This window comes from Homo sapiens, chromosome 10 (assembly GCF_000001405.40).
Source record: "Homo sapiens chromosome 10, GRCh38.p14 Primary Assembly".
NCBI classification, from domain to species: Eukaryota; Metazoa; Chordata; class Mammalia; order Primates; family Hominidae; genus Homo; species Homo sapiens.
Genome location: NC_000010.11, coordinates 108,428,532 through 108,453,976, shown reverse-complemented (window position 1 = coordinate 108,453,976; position 25,445 = coordinate 108,428,532). Strand labels below are relative to the sequence as shown.

Genomic DNA, 25,445 nt, shown 5'->3' with positions numbered 1-25,445 from the left:
TTGTCCAAAACAGTTTTGTTTTACCATGACTTGCAGCTACAAGTGCCTAGAGGATAGCTTGAGGGACAGTATCTTCCAAGAAACAAATTACCCATTAAAAGCAAAGAGTCTATATGTCAGAGACTGGCCAAGTTCATTTCTACCACTCTGTGCCACCCTCTGCAGTTTACGCTCAGTTTCATTTTTTTAAATTTTGTCTCTTTTAAAAGAGGGTCTTATTTTGACTTAAAAACAGTTTTGGAACCCTTTTTGGAAAGAGTTGGTATATTTCAGGTGACCTGATTTTGCATTTTTGGTATACTTCCTCTTCCCCCCACAGCCTACAGAAGGCGAGGTGGAGGCAAAACCTCAGAGCTCACTTTGCTTTCTTAAGGAGAGCACTACTCTTGTAAAACCAGTTTGTAGGAAACAGTAAAATTATATGAAGGTCAGTAAAGTAGCTCATTAGTGTGGAGTCAGGCTTATCAGTTTATGAGGTCTATGTAATTAATTATTAAAGGATAAGACATTTGTAGAAATTACAAAAGCTTTCTGTTAAGGTCAAGGTGGTTGAGATTCAAGTTTAAACAGGTTTTAGTCTTTATCTTGATTCTAGAGCTTTCTATTCTGTGATGGGGATGAGGTTAAGGACTGTTTGCTGGATAGCATTTACACTAGATTATAAAAACTCCTGTAATCTTTCAAAACCAGTTTCCCAACTAAAGACTCTACTTTTTGAGGTAACTTCACACACACTCTCTTAACTGGCATACCATGTTTCTAATATGTCCTAGATTGAACAGGAGAATCTGGAACCAGGAGTGAGCAGAGCTGGCCCCAGGCCTTGGTGGCTGTGTACTAGTTCTGTGACCTGCAATCAGTCACTTAACTTCTGTGAGCTCCTCTCTTTCCGTCTGTAAAAAAGGAATATGTACTACCCACTTCCTGAGTAGATGTTGAAGATGTTGTAAAAGGTAAGAGCCCCTGGCACAAGGAAATCCTGGACCACACTAAGTGCATGGTGCTTTGAGGTTGAATCTCTATGAATTGTTTTTAATCCAAAAAGTGCTTTAAGACAGTGTCTTTAATAAGAAGTTTTTATGATGGCCAGTGGGGAAAATCTGTGGTTCTTAGCTCATCCCTGACCCATGTGTATGAATCAGCACTTTGGAAGAACATGAGTTTTGTGTCTGGGATTTATTTTTATGCTATGGAAAGAGCATCGGACAAGACTTAGGAGATTAGGGTTTTATCCTGACTATGTCGCATATTTGCAGGTTGATTTCGAGCAAATCAGATAACTCTCCTTCTGAGCACTAATGCCTTGTTTGGCGAATAACCAAATAACCTTCAGTGTGGTGTGGTTGTACTGAAATTGCTTGAGTTTGAAACCTAGCACTGCTTCGTGTGATATAATCTTAGACAAATACATAGCTAAATGTGCTTTGGTATCCTTCTTTGCAAAGTGCGCATAATAATCATACCTACTTCATAGAGTTGTTGTCAGGAAGACATGCAGTGATAAAAGCAAAATATTTAGCAGAGTGTCTGTCATAAAGGGTACTCATAACGTCTTAGTTGGTGTGATTTCATGTTCCTTAAATTAGTTTACCCAAGGCAAAATCTTCCATATGTTCTAATCTACTATTGGCTCATATCCAAGACATCTCTCTCTTCACTAAGTCCCTGTATCAGTCCATTTATTTTCATCATGCTATAAAGAACTGCCTGAGACTGGGTAATTTATAAAGGAAAGAGATTTAACTGATTCACAATTCAGCATGGCTAGGGAAGCCTCCAGAAATTTACAATCATGGAAGACAGAAAGGAGTAAGCAATGCACCTTCACATGGTGGCAGGAAGGAGAAGTGCTGAGCGAAGTGGGAAGAGCCCCATATAAAACCATCAGATCATGTGAGAACTCACTATCACGAGAACAGCATGGGGGAAACCACCTCCATGATTCAATTACCTCTACCTGGTCTCTCCTTTGACACATGGGCACTACAGGGATAATGGGGATTATAATTCAAGATGAGATTTGGGTGGGGATACAAAGGCTAAGCATATCAGACCCCTTTTAAAATATTTACAGTAATCTGTCCCATGGTGTTTTATTTTGTTTTGTTTTATTTTGTTTTGTTTTATTTGTTCACGATTATTTGTGTGGCAGGGCAAAATGCTTTAAAACATTTTTATAAATACTCTGTATGAAGGGGACAAACTGCCAAAAAGAAAAAATGAAGGAAGAGTAAAGGAGGAAGAAAGATGTGGAGGAGCAGAAGGGGAAGGAGAATCTGGAGGAGGAGAAAAACAAGAAAAAAATCTTTTCCCTGATAAGTACTATGGCCCTGTGAATTTTTTGGCAGAAATACTGTACATGTGTCCTCTTGGTCCACATAGCTTGGATGCAACACACTTCTCTCCAACTAGAACCTAAGATAGGTAGTTTCTTTTGCACCAGGCTCATTTTCCAATTCATGGAATGAACACTTTAACCATTTGGCGTGGAAGAGCAAGTCGTTTCCCTCACTGTGTCAGCTTCCAGCCTACCTCAGACAGAGCCAAACTAAGAAAAGGTACTGCATGAAGTGTTTGAACTGAGAGGAGCTTCCAGGGACCAAGGCCTTAAGATTATGATGTGACCTCAGCAGTGTCTTCTTCCTGATAAATTATGATGTTGGGTGAAATGTGAGGCCATGATCCCAGAAAGAAAAATCAGATATAGCATCCAAGGGCCCAGGGGAAGTTGCCACCAGCCCTCCCTGTCTGTTCTTCAGCACTGGGCCAGTGCTGCTTTCCGTAGTCTTTTTTGGGATTTATTTTATGGACATCCAGGCTTTAGGCATGTAGCCTTTTTGCTTGGAGACCAGAGAATGAAGCATTGGGCTGGAAGTTGACCAGGCCTAGGCTGGCCCTGGTTTTGCCACTAATCATCCATATGACTTAGAGTAGGTCATTTAATATCTGTGAGCCTCAGTTTCTTCACATGAATGATGAAAATAGTCATAATGTTGTTATGAGTGTGTATTAAATCACAGCTTTGTTGCTTTGGGATATTAGCTCTGAGAAAGTATCAGTAGAGTTAGAGTTTACCTAATGCAGCCATGACTGAGGCATGGATCCTCCTACTCATTACCATCAGGACCAGGGAGCCTCTAGCATCTCACTCTCACTGAACACCATCATGGCTAGGGATCATGCTTCCTCAGTAGGTAGCTGATCTTACATTTGGGGAGCTGTGGTTAGTATGAAGGTAGAATGTATGCTTGATTTTTGAAGAAACAAAAATTATTCTGGAGGTTTGACCCCAGAACAGCTCTCAGGAACCAATAACCAAGGTTGATATAATAGAGAGTCTACTGGCATGTGTGAGCACAGACACCCTGAGCTGAGGCACGCCTGTGTTTGAACTGTGGTTTCTCTTCAGTACAGGTAGATATTTTTCTTGTTGGTCCTTGTTCAGTAACCTTCTGTACATGTTCTTCATGTTTTCCTGGTAACCCCAGATCAGTATCTGTGGCTAATGTAACCAACTGTGTTAACCACATCCCTCATGTGTCCCGTGTAAATGGTGAGCCATCTTCTGTTGGTTTCCATTTACTCCTGTCCTCTGTGCTAATGCTGAGTACTGAGTGGTGTCCATCTCTGGTAAATGAGTTTTTGGTGATTCTGGTAAAAAGCCATATAATCTGCTTCTCCTTTCTCACTTAGTACATTTTGAAGTTAAGAAAATACTAGTGTTTGAATTTCCAACTTTGTTTCCAATGGAGAATACAATAATAGAGCTGTATTCTCTCATGAAGTGAGGTTAAAGGAAAGACAGGAGGGAGCAGGGTTGTGTTGGGTAATGGAGGTATCCTAAATTCTCCACAATATTCTCATCTTTAATTAACAGGTTCGAGTCAACCAATTAAAAGCAATAGATCACATGAAGATGAGTATATCTTCTGTTTGTTGGGACATAATCCAGAGAGGATCTTTCTCCCCAGATATTATGGGATGGCCACATTTTACAGCTGAGAGTGGTAAGTGATCAGGTGAAGCAGAGTAAGTACCTGTGGACAGCTCCATTGAAGTACATGTAGCAAAAATAGCCATGTGTGACTTTGTACAAAATGTCAGGTGGTCATTTAAGGCTTCTTGGCACTGTATATGAGGGAGTGTTTTAATCTTGCTGTGTTGCATGAAGCATTTGGGAATTGAGAAGCAGAGTCTTGCACTGTATGTATGCCGGTTCTCCCACAGAAAAGAGAGGTGGCATCAGTACTTTCTTATCAGCTAGGATAATCACACAGGGGAAGTCAAAACCTTCCAAAAGCAAGGGACAGTAGCCAAGGCTTAACTTGGTATAACAGAGATTATTCTTGTATGTGTGCAAATGCCCAGAGTGCCAGGTGAGGGGGCCGAGGGACCTGGAGCAGGTTTGTAGGATCACACGGATGATCAAGGTTAGATCAGAGCCATAGCCTTGACCTGAGGAGACACAAGCTGTCTCCTAACAGACAGGCAGGAGTCCTGCAGACACTAATTTCAAATGACAGTGACACAGGTGGTCAAAATTCCTAGAAAAAATTTTTTTACAAAGGCCAGGTGTGGTGGCTCATGCCTGTAATCCCAGCACTTTGGGAGGCCGAGGCAGGTAGATCACCAGATGTCTGCAGTTTAAGACCAGCCTGGCCAACTTGGTGAAACCCCATCTCTACCAAAAAAAAAAAAAAAATACAAAAATTAGCTGGGTGTGGTGCATGTGCCTGTAATCCCAGTTACTGGGGAGGCCAGAGGCAGAAAAGTTGCTTGAACCCAGGAGGCGGAGGTTGAAGTGAGCCAAGATCGCACTATTGCACTCCAGCCTGGGTGACAGAGTGAGACCCTGTCTCCAAAATAAATAAATAAATAAATAAACAAATAAATAAATAAAATAAAAATAAAAATAAATTGGCATGAACCAAGAAAATAGTTACTTCCAGAAAAAATGAAGCTAAAAAACCCAGACCTCTTTATATGAGGAAGCCACTTGCTTTATCCAAAAATATTTGTGTACTCCTCAAGGTAGGGATTTTTCTCAGTTGGGGACTGATTGAGCATTTTGAGTGGTAATAAACAAAAATACCGGTGAAGGATGAAGAGTAATGGAGAACACTGCCATTGGCTCTTTCCTCTAGCTGGTTCTCCCAGCTGGAAACTCTTCCAGCTTATAGAGCAAGGTCAGGTGTTTCTCTGGGATCTTAGCTCCTTGATGCCGGTGATTTCAGCATCAGGATGTTGTTCATAGTGTGTCACCTGCAGCGACTTTTTGAAAACAAAGCTGTGAGGGTGAATGCTGTGAACTCCCTCTGTGTCATCTGCAGTCTCATTGTCCTGATATCACCTGTCTTACAGAAATGTACTCAGGAAGGAAACGGGCTACCAGGAGGCTACTGGTGCCTCAGTGGAGAGACAAACCTATCTCCAAACATGACTGACACTTCTGCATTTTAGAAATATGGTCTGGGTCAGCACTCGTGAAAAAGGAAAAAAGCAATAAATAAAATAAAACATGCTCTGGCAAAAGGCAGAAACATGGCAGGCAATCTCCAGACCCTTCCATCATCCCTCCTCTTCCTCTTTTCCATCTACCTTTCTTGGTGTTGCTTGTTTTCCTAATCTAAGAAGAACCTCCAAACTTCCATAAATTTTGTTTGGCAACAACTATGATTTTCTTTTTATTATTATTTTAATTGTTGAGAATAATACCAACATAATGTTGCTGCTGCAGAGGATTATGCCTTAGAAAGCTGAAAACTCCTGGCTGGGACGCTCCTCCTGCCAGAAGCCAAGGTTCTCCTGCCTGTGATGGCAAAACAACCTTTTACCTGATCAGATTCCAGCTCTGACTAGTACTGTGTGTATATATACATATATATATCTCCTTCTTGACATTTTTCTGTTCATGGATAAACATTACACATGTATGTGTGTGTGTGTGTATATATATATATATTTAAATTATCTATATAGCAAATGATTACACAAACTTGATCATATTACACATTTTTATGCAGCTTGAACTTTCACTTGATGTTACTTCTTAGCCATGTTTCCCTATCCATGCATGTAGGCGTACCTCATCCCATTTAATGGCTATAAACAATTTCATGAGATAAACCTATTAATTTAACTCAATTAAACCTTAAAATCTATCTTTAATTTAGATTACATTAAAACATGAATAAACCAAAACATAACTTTGGTTATTCACCTAAGTAAAATTGTCTCTGTTTGCATCTTGCTCTAGTTGGAGGCCCAGAAAGTGAAATAAAATAATCTATTGAAGTCCAAAAATCAGGAACCATGGAATAAACTGATTTTGAAATAGTATGCTAGTTGTACTAGGAAGTACTATGTTCAATATGTTTTCCTTCAACCACTATATTTTAGGAATGTCCAAAAATTCTAGAAGCACAAGGAATAAAATATATTTATGTCCTGCCGATTGAGTATATTCATCATTCAGAACCATGATAGACAGCAAAATCGCAGCAACATTATCCTATATCAATAATATGCGTTTAATCTAAGTTTAAAAATAACTTATCTGAGATAATTTTTCTTTCTTTGCTCCTTCCAAGAATTCAGTTCCAACTTGATTTGCGAGTGGAATGAAGGTTCCGAGATAGTTTTAAGTTAAAATTTTTAACCAGGACACAGAAGAACAGGAATAATTCTTCAGACCTGCAGTATATGTTTCGCCAGAGATCAATTGTTGGATGTCTTTGGTTCAGAGTTGCTTGTACATCCAACATGTTCCATAAGAATGGGCTTAAATAAATGCACTCTCTTGAATAATTGGACATACAGCAATTATATAATTCATCTCTTATCCTCCTCCCTTTACCCCAGCAAGTCTAGAGTCCTGGGACTTGACAGTTATGTTCTCTATGATATCCCCAAGGTTTCCATTTCTTAGGAAGTAGAAACCACAAATTGAAGCTGATTTGTAGTTTAAACAGACTATAAGTCAAGTGTGACTGTAACTCCTCTGTTTGCTAACCAGGGTATTAAGCCTGTCTCTTCCCAAGGCAGTCTCAGAGTAAGTTTGATTTAATTGGCAAAACCCAAGAAACAAAAATGTCCAGGTGCCTGGTGCCTGGAGCTTTTTGCTGGAGCCTATTTTGCCTTGGCATTTAAATTCAAGAGAAATAAACTAGGCAAAAATGGCACCATAAAGATTGCAAATACCAGACAAAAATGTAAATTTACAAGAGCACGGGGGAAGACTGGGTCATAAAAATGTGGGTCAAAATAAATGGTCTTTCTCACTTTTAAATGAATGGAACAACTTTTGGATAGAAAAAGCAGGCACTAGATAAAAATTAGACAGTAACCCCCAACGGGTGGGTCTTATTTATTTGATTTGCTGTCTTTACCCTCATGAAGTTTTATGTCTAATGAAATGAGTTTCCACAAAGGGTTCAGATATGGGGATACTTTCCTTCGACATACCAATTACTGATTTCTGGGAAGTTCTTTCTCCTTCTAATGAAACCTTCTAGTCATGAAACATGGGCCAGTGAGAGCATTCCCACAATCCCTTCCCAATCAATGCTTCTCCAGCTAGATAGACAGGGTGTTTTTTGCTTTGTTTTGTCCTTGATGAGAAATTGTCAGTAACTTATCAACATTTTAAAATACGGGCTTGCATGATAATATAATCCCTGACCTGAATTTGGCCCACAGGCTCCAGGTTATGGCACCTTAGATTGCAACCTTCTTGAGAAGGTGCCTAATTACCTCCCATCCCCCAAGGTCTACTACACATGACGCTGGGGGCATGTTTACCAAATGAGTTATTAGCAAATAGCAGCCACAGTAAAAACTGAAAGAGTCAGGGTGACCACGAAGATTCAGTCATTCCCATCATGATACCTTTGAAAAGATGCGTTGACCATACTATGTATTGTCTCACAGCAGAGGAATTTTTCAAGGCAGAATATTCTGTGTTCTGACTGCAATGTTGTTGTCCAAACAAAAGTGTGTTATGGAGTTGGAAGGGATCATGTGTGTCATCTAGCCAACCTCCTCATGGAACAGATGAGAAGATTGAGGTCAGGAGTAAAGATGTAGCCCAGTGTCATTCTGATTCCTGGTCTCCTGGCTGTGTATGCAGGACACTTTCCAACAGAAGGTAATGCTTACCCAATCCTGAAATTCCCCGATGCCTGTCACATAAGTAGGCACATTCTTTAATTCTAATCCTCCTTTTAGAAGGCCACCTCCATCTAATTATCATTCTGAATCATTCCTCTTGAGTCTAGTTCAAGTCTCACACGTGTGTTTAAAGATTTTTCTTTGTTTATTTGTTTCTGATTGTTCCAGTTGGAACACCCTCCTCTACATTTCTGTAGCACTTACTTTCCTTTTGAGTCTTAACCAACCATTCCTTTTCATTATTATGAAATTTTTTAAAGTCTCCCCAGAGATAATAGAAACTCTTATATAATACAAGAAATTTCACAGGGTCTGCCGTATAGGAGATATTTAATAAATAATCATTTATTGATAAGACTGGTAGGAAAACACCAAGGATGTTTATAAAATAGGGGTTAAAGATGCAGAAATGCCAGTGTTCGTTGTTGAGCTATGTTCATTGCTGAACTGCCTTCATGTTGAGCCAGTTGAGAGGGCACTTTTGTTTACCATAAGAGTCACAAAGGTGAAAGCCTCCGTATCTGGACTTCCTTTCACAGTTGCAGGTGAGGTTTGACAAAATGAAAAATAGTCTCCAGAGGCCTCTAATGCTAAACTAGCTTAGTATTTAATTCAGCATCCCATAAAGGATGCTGGATCAGCCAGGAGGAATTTTAACACTGCAATTATAGTAATTCACTGTATTTTTACATTTTATGCTTCTTCAGGGTCTGCAAACTCCCTAGAGGAAAATTTGGATTTTGCTAAAATTCTCAGTCTCATAATGTCCTTAAAAGAGTTGAGTAAAATAGGTTTAATCCTGAGTACTGGTTCTTTTACTAGAAGTTTATAAGGAATGCAAGAGCAATGGTATGGTTGTCTCTTAGTTACAACTTGATTTGGAAGAAGAGCAGCATCCCCAATCTTAAATTTCTGACTTGGCTACAAATAATCTTTAACTGTTTTAATTTTTATGTTTATTTATTTTTTATTTTTTATTTTTTTGACACCGAGTCTTGCTCTGTCATCCAGGCTGAAGTACAGTGGCTCAGTCTTGGCTGACTGCAATCTCTACCTCCTGGGTTCAAGCAATTCTCTTGTCTCAGCCTCCTGATTAGCTGGGATTACAGGCAACCACTACCATGCCCCGATAATTTTTGTATTTTTATTAGAGTCCGAGTTTCACCATGTTGACCAGGCTGGTCTTGAACTCCTAACCTGAGGTGATCCGCCTGCCTTGACCTCCCAAAGTGCTGGGATTACAGGCATGAGCCACCACACCCAGCCACAAATTTTTTAACATCTGCAAAGGACTAAACTCTTCTAAATCAGGGGGAAGTGGAAAAAAGTTTTTTGTGAAGGGCTTCAAAGTAAATAGTTTTGGTATTGAGGCCCACCCAAAGTGAGAACTTCTATGATGAGAACTTTGAATATGGCAGCTAAAAAGCCAATCATGGTATCTCATCCTCACCCATTTGAACTTTGTCTGTCCCCTAAGTCCTACTCTCATATTCATGCATGCCTTTGTCTCTGCCTGTTCTTCTTACTCAGCTTCTCTGACCAGAGTTTGGGGATGCAGGAAACATTCCATAGCCTTCCACATGGAGTAAGTTCTCCTAGCCATGTGGAGCCATGTGAAGATCCCTTGATTCAGGAGGTTATGATGCTTTGTGTGCAACTGGTACAGAGTAGAATCTGAATGTTGTCTTGTTGCAATCATGAAAAGTAGGGACAATAAAGGCAGTGCTTTTAAGAGAGTCTGGTGGATATATGGAGCTTGATGGTAGCTATATATGAATGTTTAGGGTGGAAGTGGGGAGTAGAAAATGGAGATTCCCTTTTGAGATAATTTCTCAATATTAACCAGCGGTAACACAATAGCTGGAGAACACCAAGGTAAAGCCCTTGGTCTCTGGAACCCACTGCCTAGATCTTCCAATCTTCTATCTGCCACTACTCACTGTGTGACCATTGGTAAATACTTAACTTATTTTTTGTTTCAGTTTCCATATGGGTAAGTGGGGTAATAATAGTGTATACCTATGAGACAACACATGTAAAGTGCTCAGAAAAATATGTGACATAAAGTTTCCACTAAATAAATGTCAGCTGCAAGTGTTATGTTTCCCGAAGCACCTTAATGATCACCTTGCCTCCATGTTGCAATCCTGAGGTTGGTAGACTGGGGATTGCCATGGCCATTCTACAGGTGAGACACTGACAGGTCCAAAAGTTAGTTGGTTGGAGTGTCTGGATTGGGATTTAACTGTCCAGGTTCTGATTAGAATTTTCTCTCCATATCATTTTTTTCCTTTTCCAGGGAGTGAGAGAAGCCTGTGGCATGTTTGCATGCAGTGGTGAAGGGCACATGCCTCTGGCCAAGAGAGAGATTTTTCAAGGAAAGGTGTTCAGGGAGATCATTAGAAAACTTGCAAGATCAGACCCTCAAGTTTCAACAGCTGGCAGTGTCATTTGTTAAGAAATAAAAGAACATTACTAGGGAGTCCAGCAGGGGAATTTTCCAACTAACCTCCACATTGCTGGGTACAGCATGTTTCTGTAGACGTCATTTATGCATCCAGCAATTACCAATGGTTTTCTTTAGAGAAGGCCAAGGGAGAAAAATCTAAGAACGCAAACTGACTTGCAATCTATCAATTCCTGAATTCCTGGGGAAGACCCTCCCTTGCTTCCCCACCATTGATACTAAAGGCAGGCATGTGGATTCCACTTAGTTGCTGGAGTGGTAGGGACTCGGGGATCAGTGTGTCCAGGCCAGGGTCTATGTACAAGGGAAGTAAATTAAGGAAGTTTGATTTTGCCACCTCAGAAAGAGGTTCTCTGCTGAGTGGGGAGGAAACAGAAAGTTGTATCATGCAAGGTTGCTCCTTTCACAGAATTCTAGGGTCTCCCTGGTTGGGTCCCAGCACTCTGTTGCATTGACATATCCTTTACCACTTGGCTCAGGCTGCCCCAAACTGTCCTGTAATTCTATTTTGTTATGAGAACAGCTTACCTTTAGTGTCTCTGATCTTTTCATTATTATTATTATTATTATTTATTTATTTATTTTTATTATACTTTAAGTTTTAGGGGACATGTGCACAACATGCAGGTTTGTTACATATGTATACATATGCCATGTTGGTGTGCTGAACCCATTAAATCATCATTTAACATTAGTTATATCTCCTAATGCTATCCCTCCCCCCTGCCCCCACACCACAACAGGCCCCAGAGTGTGATGTTCCCCTTCCTGTGTCCATGTGTTCTCATTGTTCAATTCCCACCTATGAGTGAGAACTTGCGGTGTTTTGTTTTTTGTCCTTGCGATAGTTTGCTGAGAATGATAGTTTCCAGTTTCGTCCATGTCCCTACAAAGGACATGAACTCATCATTTTTTATGGCTGCATAGTATTCAATCATGTATATGTGCCACATTTTCTTAATCCAGTCTATCATTGTCGGACATTTGGGTTGGTTCCAAGTCTTTGCTATTGTGAATAGTGCCAAATAAACATACGTGTGCATGTGTCTTTATAGCAGCATGTTTTGTAATCCTTTGGTTATATACCCAGTAATGGGATGGCTGGGTCAAATGGTATTTCTAGTTCTAGATCCCTGAGGAATCGCCACACTGACTTCCACAATGGTTGAACTAGTTTACAGTCCCACCAACAGTGTAAAAGTGTTCCTATTTCTTCACATCCTCTCCAGCACCTGTTGTTTCCTGACTTTTTAATGATCGCCATTCTAACTGGTGTGAGATGGTATCTCATTGTGGTTTTGATTTGCATTTCTCTGATGGCCAGTGATGATGAGCATTTTTTCATGTGTCTTTTGGCTGCATAAATGTCTTCTTTTGAGAAGTGTCTGTTCATATCCTTTGCCCACTTTTTGATGGGGTTGTTTGTTCTTTTCTTGTAAATTTGTTTGAGTTCATTGTAGATTCCGGATATTAGCCCTTTGTCAGATGAGTAGATTGCAAAAATTTTCTCCCATTCTGTAGGTTGCCTGTTCACTCTGATGGTAGTTTCTTTTGCTGTGCAGAAGCTCTTCAGTTTAATTAGATCCCATTTGTCAATTTTGGCTTTTGTTGCCATTGCTTTTGGTGTTTTAGACATGAAGTCCTTGCCCATGCCTATGTCATGAATGGTATGGCCTAGGTTTTCTTCTAGGGATTTTATCTTTTCATCAGATTAGAAGATCCTCACAATTTCAATCCCAGGCTTGTCACCATAATAGGAAATACACACACCAGCAGTTCTTCAGGAACTCTGTCTTCCTAGAACTTAGTGACTCTCCCTGATTTTTCCAAGTTATGTCTCTTGTATGACAAAGCCTGACATAAATTATTCTCTGTGCTGAGAATTAATCTTCAATTTCAAACATGCTACAAATATCCCACTAGAGGTTTTTTTTTTTCTTTTAATGAAAGCTCCATGCTGCTGTGTCAAGAGGATAATGTGCATGCTGACCCCTGCACTGGCCTGCAAGTTATTTGCCCTCTCCACATATTGTTTTGAACACTACAGCCTCAGATAGTCAGATTGATTAGTTCAGTTAAAGCTCAACTCAAATTATGTTTGAAGTCCTGCATTCAGTCCCCAAGTGGATCAAAAATTTGCTTTGTTCCATGGTCATGGCCATTATCTGTAAGCCTGCCCCATATCTACGGGTGTCTGAGGCTTCTTTTTCCACTCCTCAGTTCCTCAAATCTGAAAACTGAGCTCTTTGATTTCCACCTCCAGGAGCAATCACACATCAGGCTTCAGGACTAAACCCTTCCCTGGTTGAGAGGATTTAGAGGGCTCTAGGTGATTACTGTATTGATACCAAGTACCCTTTCTGCTATCTCTCTTTCCCCTTTGTGTACCACTTCTAGGAACATCTTTGCCTTAATTTTTCAAGCCTGAGAATTGAGCTTCTGTTTTATCTCCAGCTTTTGTTTTGTGCTTGGTCTCCCAGTGGAGAGACAATGGCTTTGGAGTCACAGAAACCTTATTCAAATCCTGAGCCTACCACTAATCAATCAGTTCTGTCACTTTGGGGACTATAATGGTTAATTTTATGTGTCAGCTTGACTTAGTTAAGAGGTGCCCAGATAGCTGGTAAGATATTATTTCTGGACGTGTCTATGAGGATGTTTTTGGAAGAGGTTAGCATTTGGAGAGGAAGACTGAGTAAAGAAGATTGCCCTCACCAACACAAATAGGCATCATTCAATTTGTTGAGGACCTAAATAGAATAAAAAGGTGGAGGAAGGGTGAAGTTGCTCTCTTCTTGAGCTGGGACATCTTTTGCCCTCAGATGTCAGTGTCCCTGGTTTTAGACCTTTCCACTCACTGAGACTTACATGATTGGCTCCCTGGTTCTCGGAGTGTAGGGTTTTAACTGAATTGTTCTAGGGATGTTTCTCAGCCTCCAGCTTGCAGATCATAAGACTTCTCAGCTTCTATAATTCTATAATTGTGTGAGGCAATCCCTCACAATAAATCTCTATTATTCTGTTATCCTCTACTGTATTCTATTCTCTATTCTATTCTATTCTATCCTATTCTACTCTACTATATTCTATTCTGTTCTATTGTTTCTGTTTCTCTGGAGAAACTGATTAATACAGGCAGGTTCTTTGGCTTCTCTCAACCTCATTTGTTTTATCTGTTAAAAGTAGTTTAAATGGTTTAAAATACTGTCTTGTAGTATTATGAAAAGTAAATTCAATAGATTATAAAGCGTGCCTTGTAAAAATTAGATGTTTACTGAATATCAGTTTTCTCCCTCTTACCTTTGCCCTACCTGAAGTTCTACCCCTGGAGCCAGCCACATTTGCATATTTTGATGCCAGTTGTCTGCTTGAATTTCCATATTATTCTCACCCTAAGCTGGCACAAGTTCATATTCATTTCACATGGTGAAAGAGACTCTTTTTGCTGTACTCTGTGGAGGTGACACTACCTGGACCATTATGTCTCACCTTACTTTCCACCTCACTGCTCTGCTGCTGTGTTTCTGTGCTGCTCACTCCTCCAGCAGGTATGTTTAGTACCATATCTCGGATCCCATCAGTCTGTTTTCTGGCATGGCCCATTCTTCTCTTTTTGCAAGATATGTGAGAAATAATTTCCTAGTCTGTAGCACTGATCACTATGGAACAAGCTGAAGGAGAGTGTGCATGAATCAGCATTATCCAGTACCATCCCTGGAAAGCTGTTTCTAAGGCATCTGGTGTGGAAAGTGGGTCACTTGCATTGTTCCATGTATGGAAGCCAGGGGGAGAGCCCTCATCAGAAACCAAATCAGCTGGAACCTTGATCTTCTAGCTCCAAAGCTCTGAGAAAATAAATGTCTTTTGTTTCAGCCACCCAGTCTGTGGTATTTTGTTGTGGCAGCCTGATCAGACTAACAAAGTTCTGTATACATTGTGTCATATTTAAGTTGTACAAGGAGACCTACCCATTTAAAGGAGTGCAGTTGCTTCTTTTCCCAAGCTATTCATTAAAAAAAAAGCCTAAAGTTGACCTTATTTAAAATGCAAAATTTTGCAATGGTGTCTTTTCTTAAAGGGGGCTTTATTGCATATGTCACTGAACTCCCCTGGGGAAGTTTCTCTGAATACACGAGGTCCTCTATTTGAGTATATCTTGATGAAACATCCCATAATGGATTCCATTTCTTCATTAGACAGTCATCTCTTAAACTCAGCATCCTGGGAAATGTTTCAATTTTTTCTTCCCCTGAAGGTTCTGTCTCACTATGGCTTCCACAGCCAGGTGCTATGTATAAGCTGCTAAAGACCAAAGCAAAACCTAGCACAAAAATTAGTTTTGCAGCAACAAAAACTATTTTTGCTTCCAGCCTGAACCAATTATATCTACTTCAGGGAATTTATTTAGGATAATTATCTGTCTATCTAGTACATGCATCTTCCTGCTTCTTGATGACCTCAAGCTATCCTGCTCATTCCATAATTCAACTGACACACCAAGCCTGAACTCATAGACTCAAGCTTTAATTCACACTGTTTTACTCTTTTCCCTCATTCTCTGTCTCTTTTATTTTCTCCTAGCGAGTCACATGTCCATTCCCAGGACAGACTTTCAGGTTGTTCCTTATGGACATTTGAGGACTTTCTCTGGCATGTTGTGTAGGTAAACATAAATAATTTATTACTGTTATGAGGTGGACACATCTAGAGAGGATATTTATCCCCCAAAACTCTTCATTCACACTCTCCCAATCAAGAAGTATCAATTATTTGGTTGTCTGGACTTCCATAGGCATCAGTAAGAGTCTGCAGCCTCTTCTCCTTTCAAAACTCAGCCATCAAAGGAAGTTCAGAATCTCAAGTTTTGTCAAGCAAATCACAGAGCCCAGAACCTTACAGGTGCTCTAGCTCAATGGGCTCCAGATCCACCTGTTGTAAAATCCAGGTAAATTTCAAGAAAGCATATAATTTGGGAAATAAATTTCTTAAGTCAGGTCCCTAAAATATGAAACACTGAAATCAGACATCCAGCTGTTAGAGATGGATTTCATAAAAAGAAAAATGTACATGGGGAAATACATGATTCAGAATAGGAATAGTTATTAAATGGAGTAAATTTAGACCCATGAAAAACTGAACTCTTTTTTTCTGATTTTTATCATTTTACTGAAAACTTGGTCATTGTCTTGGCACAGGGCCTTCAGTCCTGTGGGAACTTATTATCTGGTTCAAAATCCCATTTGGTGCTGCAAGGGGAAGCAGATTATTCAAGGGCTCTCAGTAAGTCCTGGCCAAGCAGGGAATACCCATATTGCTAGAAACCCAGTCCAAGGAAATTTTGTCTGCTTAGGCTCTACATAGCTAGTTAACCACCACCCTGGAGGTATTCAGTGGAAAGGATTCAGCTTCTTTGGGTGGTGCTTGTTTAGGGTTCCAGGCATGAGGTACACACAGTACATATTTTCTGAAAATATTTCATGTATATTGCTATCATTCAGTCCTCACCACTGATGAAAAGTTATCTCCTATCTGTATGTCATACAGTCATTATAGCATCATGTTATTACTTCACTAAAAAAAAGAGTTACCCTTTGATCACCTGAGGTTAGGAGTTTGAGACCAGCCTGGCCAACATGGTGAAACGCTGTCTCTACTAATAATACAAAAATTAGTCAAGCGTGGTGGTGCATGCCTGTAATCCCAGCTACTCGGGAGGCTGAGGCAGGAGAATCGCTTGAACCCGGGAGGCAGAGGTTGCAGTTAGCCGAGATCGCGCCATTGCACTCAATCCTGGGCGATAAGAGTGAAACTCCATCTCCAAAAATAAAAAAATAAAAAAGATGTACCCTTTTTCCTTCAAATAGAAACACCTATCTCACTTGAACTCTTAAGGCCATTTACCAATAATCCCTCCTATTTTATTTATCATCTCTCTCATTATTATTTTTAACTCATCTTTATAATATTCACCCCTTCTTCCTACAATTATCCTCAGCATTCTTCTGCCATATAAGAGCAATTTCTGACTCCCTGTTATTTAGTTAAAATTTATGTATTAAGTGCCTCTAGATTTCAGGCTTTGTAGGAGGTGTTAGGGATACAACAATGAAGAAATGCACATGGTCTCTGCCATCACCGAGTTCACAGTTAAGCCAGACCTAGCACCCTCATAAAATTTTCAGTATCGTTCCTCTGGTGTCCAGAAATTATTTTTTAAGTAACATGATCTGCTCTCATTTTCTGCTTTTCTTCATCTCTTCTTACCTCTTTAGTCCACTGCTATCTGCCTTCCACCTCAGGGTTCTACTAGGACTACTTTTTCGGTCAACAGTTCCCTCTTAGTAGGGAGATTAAACATCTCCTTCATACCTGTTGTCTTCACATGTTATTAAGAGTACTTGCTTTCATCTCAAAAGTATCCTAGCATGGATAGTAACTTATAGGATCACCTATGTCTGAGTTACCAATGAAGGAGGCCCTCACTCACTCTTCAATCTCAGTAACTCTTCTGTCATATTTGTCTCAGTGGAAAATTTTAGTATAGAAAACAAGTTTTAATGTTGTAGCAATACATTTTTAAACCCTGACTCCTTCACTTATTCACTATGTGACCTTTGAAATTTTGCTTTCTACTCCATATATTTTTTCTTCTTCTGTATAATAGGAAACAAGTGTTTTCCTTACAGGATAAATAAAGAAGTTCAAAACAAAAAGTTTCTGGTGTAATTAATATGGTGCCTAGCACAATGAACAGGAAACCATTCCTCAGCATCTTATGCTTCTTGAAGACCCTTGTCCCTTGGCTCTGAAGACTTCCCTGTCTTCTGTCACTGTGATACATCTTTGTGTCCTTTTCTATCACCTGCCACTTTCACGCTTTATGCTTATCTCCTTGTCCTTGGTTGTCTTGCCTGTGACAATTTGCTCCAGATTCATTAGCATGCACGCACACACTCATACACACACACACACACACACACACGCACTCACGCGCGAGATTTAGGAGCATTGCCAGAACAGCACATGCAAGCACAGATGGATATGGTGCCCCAGGAGCTGGTAAGAACTGAAGGGCTATGAGTAGGAAGTGCCCAGTCATGCACCAAAGTGGAAGAAGGCTGTGCAGATGAGGAGGGGCTCAGAGACAAGGAGACTCAGAAGTTGGCAAAGGAGAGAGGAAAGGCTGCCTGCCCTTTGTGTGAGAGGACTGAGGCAGGTGGCAGCTATATCTTCTGCTGTATCTACTATCTACTTTCTGCCTGTGAGATAAGGCTCCACACGGGGGATATTCAGGGTAGCAGTGAAAAAAATAAGAACTTCTTCAGAGTGTAGCCTAGAATTTGGAGAAGAGTAATCTTTCATGGGTAAGAGGGAGAACATGGATTTTGGAATCTGGGTGTGGGTTCAACTCTTCTTCCACTTGTGTAGTATAGGGCAAGATCTAACCTTTCTGGGCTTCAGTTTTCTCATATGTGCTTAAGAATAAAGACTTTGGAGAGAGTTTGATTTAGGTTTATATTCTGGCTCTCTTAATTGATAGCTTTGTAATCTCTGGAGAGGGCTGAACTCTCAGAGCTTCCATTCTTCAACTGTAAAATGGGGATAATAGTGCCTCATTGGATTATCATAAGCTTGAATAAAACTGTGAGTAAATTCTTGGCATATATCAGTATATCTTAGATTTCATTAATATTGTTGTTGCTGTTGTTGTTATTATTATTTTATCATATACTTAAATTCAGTCTCCTCATCTATAAAAAGGGATCAGTAACCACTTCTTAGGGATGTTGAGTGAATTTATTGAACTACCATTTGTAAATGCTGATAATGGTCACTAATTAAATGACAAATTTAAAGAAGCTTAAAGTAAGAAATGGGAATTGATTAAAAATTATTGTCACAAATTATATAATATTTGTATTTCTCCTCCTCCCCCCTTCCTCCCTTTTTCCTCTTCCTCCTCCATCTTCTTCTTTCTATTTGAATGTCTTTCTCTTCCTTTTCCACCTATCCTCCTGCAATATAAACTCCACACAGCCAAGGACTATGAATATCTTTCTGTCACTCTGCCCCTGCACTTGGAACAGTTTCTGCTGGGATATGATAGATGCTCGACACCCATCAGTTGAATTAACAAAACGTGAAGAGAAGAGAGGCAGGAAGAAATGCTCAGTGAAAATTATGGGACAGGGAGTTGTAGATTTTGTGGCTGGTAAATAGCTGCAGGGGAATGAATATTGCCAAGTATTTGGAGAGGCACTGAAATAAAGGGTCCTCTGTATACTTCCTGAGTCACAGTCCAGCAATCTGTCACTAAGTCACTGGTTGGTACAGAGGTTCCACCTACTGGTGGGCTCCAGGGCCAAGGAACTAATCACATTGGATGGAAGCTGACTTTGGTAATTATGAGTCATGGTAAAATAAGTGACATTAGATTTGAACCTAGAAAAGGTTGTGAGTGTCTAATGCAGGGTTAATTTGAAGGTTAATGCATGGAATACTGTAACGATCTAATATCTTATACTTATTTTGTTCATTACCATAACACATGGCACTGAGGTCTGTCTGGGAACCTAATTGACCATTTGACATGAGTGATGGCAAATTCAGGTTTCCCTGTTTTGTGAATAGAGTGCTTAGTTGCCTGCTTTCATACTGAAGTGGCTCATGGAAGAAACCCAAGCCATGAAAACCATGGGATAATTAGTAGAATAAAACCATTCTTTGGTCTGGAGAACACAACTGGATGTAGTTAAATTAAGTTTAATGATTCACTTTTCAGCATATTAACTTCAGAAGACTTCACATTGCATCCAACTGTAGGCCCCAGTCTTTAAAATTGCTGATTGTGCTTTAAAAATAAAACAAAAAATAATAAAATTAGGCCACAGAATACATTTTGCTCATTTTTTAATAGAACTATATGGAAATGCAAATTTTATTGAGGCTTTTGGCCCTTGGAAGAGTCTTGTCCCTGGAAATGAGGATTTATTGAAAAAGGCATACCCAATCGGTGAAAAAGCAACTGGGATGTCTTTCCACTTTTCTTTCTCCCCTACTGTGCACAGCCCTGGCTGCCTATAGCTACATCTCCTGTGCATCAATCCCTGACTTTAAATTCAAACCTTAGATCCTTTTTTTTTTTAAAAAAAGAGGAAATAGTTGTATAAAATGTCTATATTTTCTAGAAAATAATTAGTTGATGATATAGTTTGGCTGTGTCCCCACCCAAATCTCATCTTGAATTGTAGCTCCCATAATTCCCACATCTTTTGGGAGAGATTTGAACTCCCCCAAAGGGAGTTTCAATTAGGAGATATTCAGGTAGGAAATAATTGAATCACAGGGACAGTTTCCCCCATACTGTTCTAGTAATAGTGAATAAGTCTTGTGAGTTCTGATGGTTTTTGAAGGGGAAACTCCTTTCACTTGGTTCTCATTCTCTCTTGTCTTCTGCCATGTAAGACGTGCCTTTTGCCTTCCACTATGATTGTGAGGCCTCCCAGCTACATGGAACTGTGAGTCCATTAAACCTCTTTTTCTTTGTAAATAACCCAGCCTTGGGTATGTCTTTATCACAGCATGAAAGACTAATACAGTTGAAGTTGTTTTGTTTTTCACCAAACTCTGATCGTGCCTAGTTCTTTTTAACTTTATTTATCCAGAAGACAGATATCTGTCCGATGATGTTCAAGGAACTAAGAAGATGGGAGGGACATAACAGATATGGTTCCTGTTTTCATGGAGCTGATTGAGGATGTTTCTGGGCATTTCTGCACCCCTCCACCCTCACATTTTAATTCTAATTTTTTTCTTTTTTTTTTCTTCTACAATGTCTTCTGGCTTTTCTCAACTCTTCCTTCCTCTCTCTAGCATCTTAATGAGAAGTGAATGGGGCCCTATAAATAAAACATCTGTGTCTGTGGAAAAATATCCTGATATATCTACTTGCACAGCTGTTAAAAGGCCTAACTCCCTGCAAAGGAGCCAACATGGGCCATTCTCACAAGAACCAGAAATGTTATCATGGGGCTAGATAGGAGGGAAGATTAAAGAAGAGAAGTACAAGAAATACAAACTGTACCCTGCATATGGTAGCTTCTCAATACATGTTCAGTGAAATGAAGCTGGTTCAGAAGGCAAGAGAAGATTCACAGTTGGTTGCCCCACAGAAGGTGTCTGGGGTATATGAGAGATTTGGAATTAATGCCACAAAGCCAATGTTCTGCCTCACACCATGCCTTAGTTCTATCAGAGATGGGCTAAATGGCTATGATACTAACGTTGGTGATCATTTATCATGTGTGATGGTTAATATTAAGTGTCAACTTGATTGGATTGAAAGATGCAATATTGATCCTGGGTGTGTCTGTGAGGATGTTGCCAAGGGAGATTAACATTTGAGTCAGTGGGCTGGGGAACGCAGACCCATCCTTAATTGGGTGGACACCATCTAATCAGCCACCAGTGAATATAAAGCAGGCAGAAAAATGTGAAGTGATGAGATGGGCCTCCAGCCTACATCATTCTCTGGTGCTGGATGCTTCCTGCCCTAGAAACCCAGACTTCAGTTTTGGGACTTGGACTGGCTCTTCTTGCTCCTCAGCTGGCAGACAGTCTATTGTGGGACCTTGTGATCCTATAAGTTAATACTTAGTAAACTCATATATGTATATATGTGTGTGTGTGTGTGTGTGTGTGTGTGTGTGTGTGTGTGTGTGTGTGTGTGTGTGTGTATCCTATCCTATTAATTTTGTCCCTCTAAGAGAACCCTGACTAATATAGATTTTGGTACCAGGAGTGGAGTCCAGAACAGGAGAAGGCTCTGCAACTGATTGAGACTGCCTGCTCTGTGCAAACTGCTCTGCCACTTGGGCCATATGACCCAGAAGATCCAGTGGTGCTTGAGGTGTCAGTGGCAGACAAGGATGCTGTTTAGAGCCATTGGCAGGCTCCCATAGGTGAATCACAGTGGAGGCTTCTAGGAATTTGAAGCAAGCCCCTGCCATCTTCTGCAGATAACTACTCTCCTTTTGAGAGACAGCTCTTGGCCTGTTACTGGGCTTTGGTGGAAACTGAATGTTTGACTATGGGTCACCAAGTCACCATGTGAACTGAACTGCCTATCATGAACTGAGTGCTTTCTGAGCCATGTAGCCATAAAGTGGGTCATGCACAACAGCATTCCATCATCGAGTGGAAGTGGAATATATGTGACTGGGCTCGAGCAGGTCCTGAAGGCACAAGTAAGTTACATGAGAAAGTGGTTCAAATGCCCATGGTCTCCACTCTTTCCACCCTGCCTTCTCTTCTCCAGCCTGCACTGATGGCCTCATGGGGAGTTCCCTATGATCAGTTGGCTAGGGCCTGGTTCACAGATGGTTCTGCACGATATGCAGGCACCACATGGAAGTGGACAGCTGCAGCATTATAGCCCCTTTCTAGGACATCCCCGAAGGACAGAGGTGAAGGGAAATCTTCCCAGTGGGCAGAACTTCGAGCACTGTACCTGGTTGTGCACTTGGCATGGAAGGAGAAATGGCCAGATGTGTGATTATATACTGACTCATGGGCTGTAGCCAGTGGTTTGGCTGGATGGTCAGGGACTTGGAAGAAGCATGATTGGAAAATTGGAGACAAAGAAATTTGGAGAAGAGGTATGTGGATGGACCTCCCTGACTGGTCAAAAAATGTGAAGATATTTGTATCCCATGTGAGTGCTCACCAACAGGCGACCTCAGCAGAGGAGGATTTTAATAATCAAGTGGATATGATGACCCCTTCTGTGGGCACTACTTAGCCTTTTTCCCCAGCCACCCCAATTTGCCGCAGCAGAGACCGACACTGAGCCCTCGATATGACAGCATTCCTCGGGGTGATCAGCAGGTACCTGGTGGCAAGTTGATTATATTGGACTTCTTCTATCATGGAAAGGGCAGAGGTTTGTCCTCACTGGAATAGACACTTACTCTGGATATGGGTTTTCCTATCCTGCATGCAATGCTTCTGCCGAGACTACCATCCATGGACTCATGGAATGCCTTATCCACCATCATGGTCTTCCACACGTGATTGCCTCTGACCAAGGCACTCACTTTACAGCTAAAGAAGTGTGGCAGTGGTCTCATGCTCATGGAATTCACTGGTCTTACCACATTCCCCATTATCCTGAAGCAGCTGGATTGATAGAACTGTAGAATGGCCTTTTGAAATCTTGATAATTACAATGCCAACTAGGTGACAATACTTTGCAGGGCTGGGGCAAAGTTTTCCAGAAGGCTGTGTATGCTCTGAATCAACATTCAATATATGGTACTGTTTCTCCCATAGCCAGGATTCATGGGTCCAGGAATCAAGGGGTGGAAATGGAAGTGGCACCAGTCACCATCACCCCTAGTGATCCACTAGCAAAATTTTGGCTTTCTGTTCCCACGACATTACATTCTGCTAGCCTAGAGGTCTTAGTTTCAGAGGGAGGAATGCTGCCACCAGGAGGCACAACAATGATTCCATTAAACTGAAAGTTAAAATTACCACCTGGACACTTGGGGCTCCTCCTACCTTTAAGTCAACAGTCTAAGAAGGAAGTTACAGTGTTGGCTGGGGTGATTGACCAGGACTATAAAGATAAAAACAGTCTGCTACTCCACAACTGAGGCAAGGAAGTGTATGCATGGAATACCGGAGATCCATTAGGGTGTCTCTTGGTATTACCATGCCCTGTGATTAAGGTCAATGAGAAACTACAACAGCCCAATGCAGGCAGAACTACAAAAGACCCAGACCCCTCAGGAATGAAGGTTTGGGTCACTCCACCAGGAAAAAAATCCACAACCTGCTGAAGTGCTTGTTGAAGGCAAAGGGAATACAGAATGGATAGTAGACGGAGGTAGTCATCAATACCAGCTGTGACCACATGACCAGCTACAGAAATGAGGGCTGTAATTGTCACAAGTATTGCCTCCTTCTTTTGTTAAAAACATGTTTGTGCATGTATACACTTGTACTAAGAAAATATCTTCATTGTATTTCCTTTTCGTTTATCATGTGACATAAGATTTATTGACTTCATATCAGCATTTAAGTATTGTTAACTGTATGTAATAGTATTTGGGTTTGGGATTGGTGCATTTCCAATTGTACCAAGGATAGTTGTATTATGTTACATGGTCAGAATTCTGACCTTATTATTGTCTTTATTTTATTTGAAGATTATGTATGATCTCTGGAGATGTGTGTGGGTTCAAGTTGACAAGGGGTGGCCTTGTGATGGTTAATACTGAATGTCAACTTCCTTGGATTAAAGGATGCAATATTGATCCTGGATGTGTCTGTGAGGGTGTTGCCAAAAGAGATTAACATTTGAGTCAGTAGGCTGGGGAAAGCAGACCCACCCTTAATCAGGTGGGCACAATCTAATCAGCTGCCAGCAAATATAAAGCAGGCAGAAAAACGTGAAGCAAGGAGGTAGGCCTAGCTTTCCAGCCTACGTAGGTTCTCCCATGCTGGATGCTTCCTACCCTTGAACATCAGGCTCCAAGTTCTTCAGTTTTGGGACTCAGACTGGCTCTTCTTGCTCCTCAGCTGGCAGACAGCCTATTGTGGGACCTTGTGATCATGTAAGTTAATACTTAATAAACTCCCTTTTATGTATATATGTATATCCTATTGCTTATGTCCCTTTAAGAGAACCCTGACTAACACATCATGATTCAGTTAAAACTCTCAGTATGGGGGCTCAACAGGTCTGGGTTAAAGCCCAAGTTTCTCACCAACTCACTGACAGACGTGGGCAAATCAAGGAGCCTCTCTCTCCATGTCATGTCCCTTCTTAAAGGGAAATCATAAAAAAGTGGGTTCATGACAGGGGAACGTGGTAAGAAAGATGAGGCACAGGTGTGGAAATACTTTAGAGAAAATACTAAAATCTCTGCACAGCATCTAAGAGAAGACACCTTCTACTTAGGCTTGTAGTATTAACAACAAAAAATTTGGTATTGAATAGGAAAACTATCCTTCCAGACTGTGTACTTTTTCCTAACTCTTGAATTCGAAACCACATTTATTTTTCTCCTCCCACACTGTCCCATCTTTGTCTTCAACTTCCTCCCCCTCTCTGGTGCCCTGGTTTTATTTCTGGATGTGTGATTGACCCTTCCTTAAAACTGCTGTGGGAGATGCTTCGAATCCTTCTTATGGGAAGAACATGTTGCTTGGTCACTAGAAACGCTGTTACTGACAGTCTAGAGCTGCCACCTCCTTCATAGTCTGCCTCAGCTGTAGTGAGTGAGCTGCATACTTTTCCACAATGGCCCATACTGACTGATCTTGCTGGGGATAGCAAAGACCTCTGCGGGGAAACTCAAATAGGCCATGTGCCTTTAGAGTTCTCTTTGGGGTGAAAGGGTGTTTGTGAAGCCTGAATCACCATTCAGATGTTCTTTCTGCTTTAACCAGCTTTCAAAACCTCCCTTTCACAGGTGTTGATCCCTAAAAAATATTATTCAAGCCCAATTCCATCTTAGCACCTGCTTTTAGTGTTGTCAACCTGAAATACCACCATCTCTATTAACTTTCACTTGCTGGTAATAGGATTGTCATTATATACTTTGTGTACTTATCTGCCCCCTCCTCAGGGTACAGACTTGCTTGCCTAAAAGGTCATTTTGCAGGCTTTGATTTTTGTCTGCTAGAATGAACGAATGAACCCTCGCTAAAACCAGAAAAAGTGATCATCATTTACTGCCTGTTTCAGAATTACATGATAAAATAACAGTTGCCAGGGAATTTTGTAAAGGATCACATAATC

At 40.7% G+C, this 25,445-nt stretch overlaps 1 long non-coding RNA gene across 4 annotated transcripts in view; it reads left to right on the top strand.

The window, feature by feature from the left end:
- Positions 1 to 25,445, top strand: part of LOC105378477 (uncharacterized) — a 70,747-nt gene that overhangs the window by 12,421 nt on the left and 32,881 nt on the right. For all 4 annotated transcript variants that reach the window (XR_946310.2, XR_946309.2, XR_946308.2 and 1 more), the window contains exons 2-3: positions 774 to 953; positions 3,878 to 4,007. This is a non-coding gene — a long non-coding RNA (uncharacterized LOC105378477). The remainder of the gene's footprint in view (positions 1 to 773; positions 954 to 3,877; positions 4,008 to 25,445) is intronic.